This window comes from Homo sapiens, chromosome 7 (assembly GCF_000001405.40).
Source record: "Homo sapiens chromosome 7, GRCh38.p14 Primary Assembly".
Lineage (NCBI taxonomy): Eukaryota > Metazoa > Chordata > Mammalia > Primates > Hominidae > Homo > Homo sapiens.
The window spans coordinates 65,401,137-65,403,094 of NC_000007.14; positions in this window are offsets into that span (position 1 = coordinate 65,401,137).

A 1,958-nucleotide genomic window follows, 5' to 3' on the forward strand; every position below is an offset into this window, starting at 1 on the left:
GACTAGTGTATTCGATGAAGTGTTATTATGCCACTAACTTTAACCTTATCCTACCTTACTCAAGGGTGTGGGGTAAAAGATGGTAACAGTATATTATTTGGTAACATAGTGGACTTACATCTGTGGTAATCTTTTCCAGTGGCTTAAACTGCAAATACATTAAAGAATATTGTTCCCATAGGTTAAATTTTTATCTTTTTAAAATTTAAATTTATTTTTCTTAATTTTTGTGGGTACATAGTGTGTGTATATATTTATTGCCATATATGCCATATTTTGATACAGACATACAGTATGTAATAATGACATCAGGGTAAATGAGGTCTTCACCTCTAGCATTTATTCTTTGTATTACAGACAATCCAGTTCTATCTAAAAATGAGGAAAAAATTATTTTAATAAGGTGACTAATTTACTAGAAAACTAAAAACCTCAAATATGTGTAAGGCAAATCTATACACTGCTTTGTATTGAATTCATGACTATAAGATCTTATGGCTTATGGTTCATAACCTCCCCAGGCAATTTCTCTGTTTTACTTGCCTGGTGCTCATGCTAGACCCATAATTTTTTTGTTTCTTATAATTATTTTGTTTTATAGTTTTTGAAGTATTCATTATGTGAGCTCATCAGGGATTATAAGAATTATTTTTATAAAATTTAGCGCATGCAAAATTTTTAGATGTAATTGCACAATTAGTGTATTTTATTTAGTTAGAACATTCCATTTTGTTATTTTACTTGGAGAACCCTATATAAGCCTACTTTTGAGACGGAATTTCGCTCTTGTTGCTCAGAATGGAGTTCAATGGTATGATCTCGGCTCACCGCAGCCTCCGCCTCCTGGGTTGAAGTGATTCTCCTGCCTCGGCCTCCCGAGTAGCTGGGATTACAGGCATGTGCCACCATGCCTGTCTAACTTTGTATTATTAGTAGAGACAGGGTTTCTCCATGTTGGTCAGGTTGCCTCGAACTCCCGACCTAGGTGATTCGCCTGCCTTGTTCTCCCAAAGTGCTGGGATTCCAGGTGTGAGCCACTGCACCCGGCTGTAAGCCTACTTGTATTTAGTTATTGCTGCTTTCAGATTTTTTTTTTTTTTTTTTTTTTTTGAGACGTAGGCTTGTTCTTGTTGCCCAGGCTGGAGTGCAATGGCATGATCTTGGCTCATTGTAACCTCCACCTCCCGGGTTCAAGCAATTCTCCTACCTCAGCCTCCTGAGTAGCCAGGATTACAGGTGCCCACCACCACACCCTGCTAATTTTTGTATTTTTAGTAGAGACAGGGTTTTGCCTTGTTGGCCAGGGTGATTTCAAACTCCTGACCTTGTGATCTGCCTGCCTCGGCCTCCCAAAATGCTGGAATTACAGACGTGAGCCACTGTGCCCAGCTGCTTTCAGATTTTTTAATTGACATAAGTAAATTTATGTATTGAGCCAATTTGTTCAGGTATGTACTAGGGAGGCTTCATAAGTCAGGATTTTTTTTTTTTTTTTTTTTTTGAGACAGAGTCTTGCACTGTTGCCTAGGCTGGAGTGCAGTGGCATGATCTCGGCTCACTGCAACCTCTGCCTCCCAGGTTCAACTGATTCTCCTGCCTCAGCCTCCCAAGTAGCTGGGATTACAGGCACCCACCACCAAGCCCAGCTAATTTTTTGTATTTTTAGTAGAGATGGAGTTTCACTATGTCAGCCAGGCTGGTCTCAAACTCCTGACCTCGTGATCTGTCCCCCTTGGCCTCCCAAAGTGCTGGGATTACAGGCGTGAGCCACTGCACCCGGCCAGGATGATGTTTTTATACATAAGTGCAGCAAACAAACATGACAGTGCTTGCTGTATAACAGTACACTCGTCTTGGCTCACTGCAACCTCTCACCTCCCAGGTTCAAGCAATTCTTCTGTCTCAGCCTCTGGAGTAGCTTGGTCTACAGGCACACACCATTACACCTGGTTAATTTT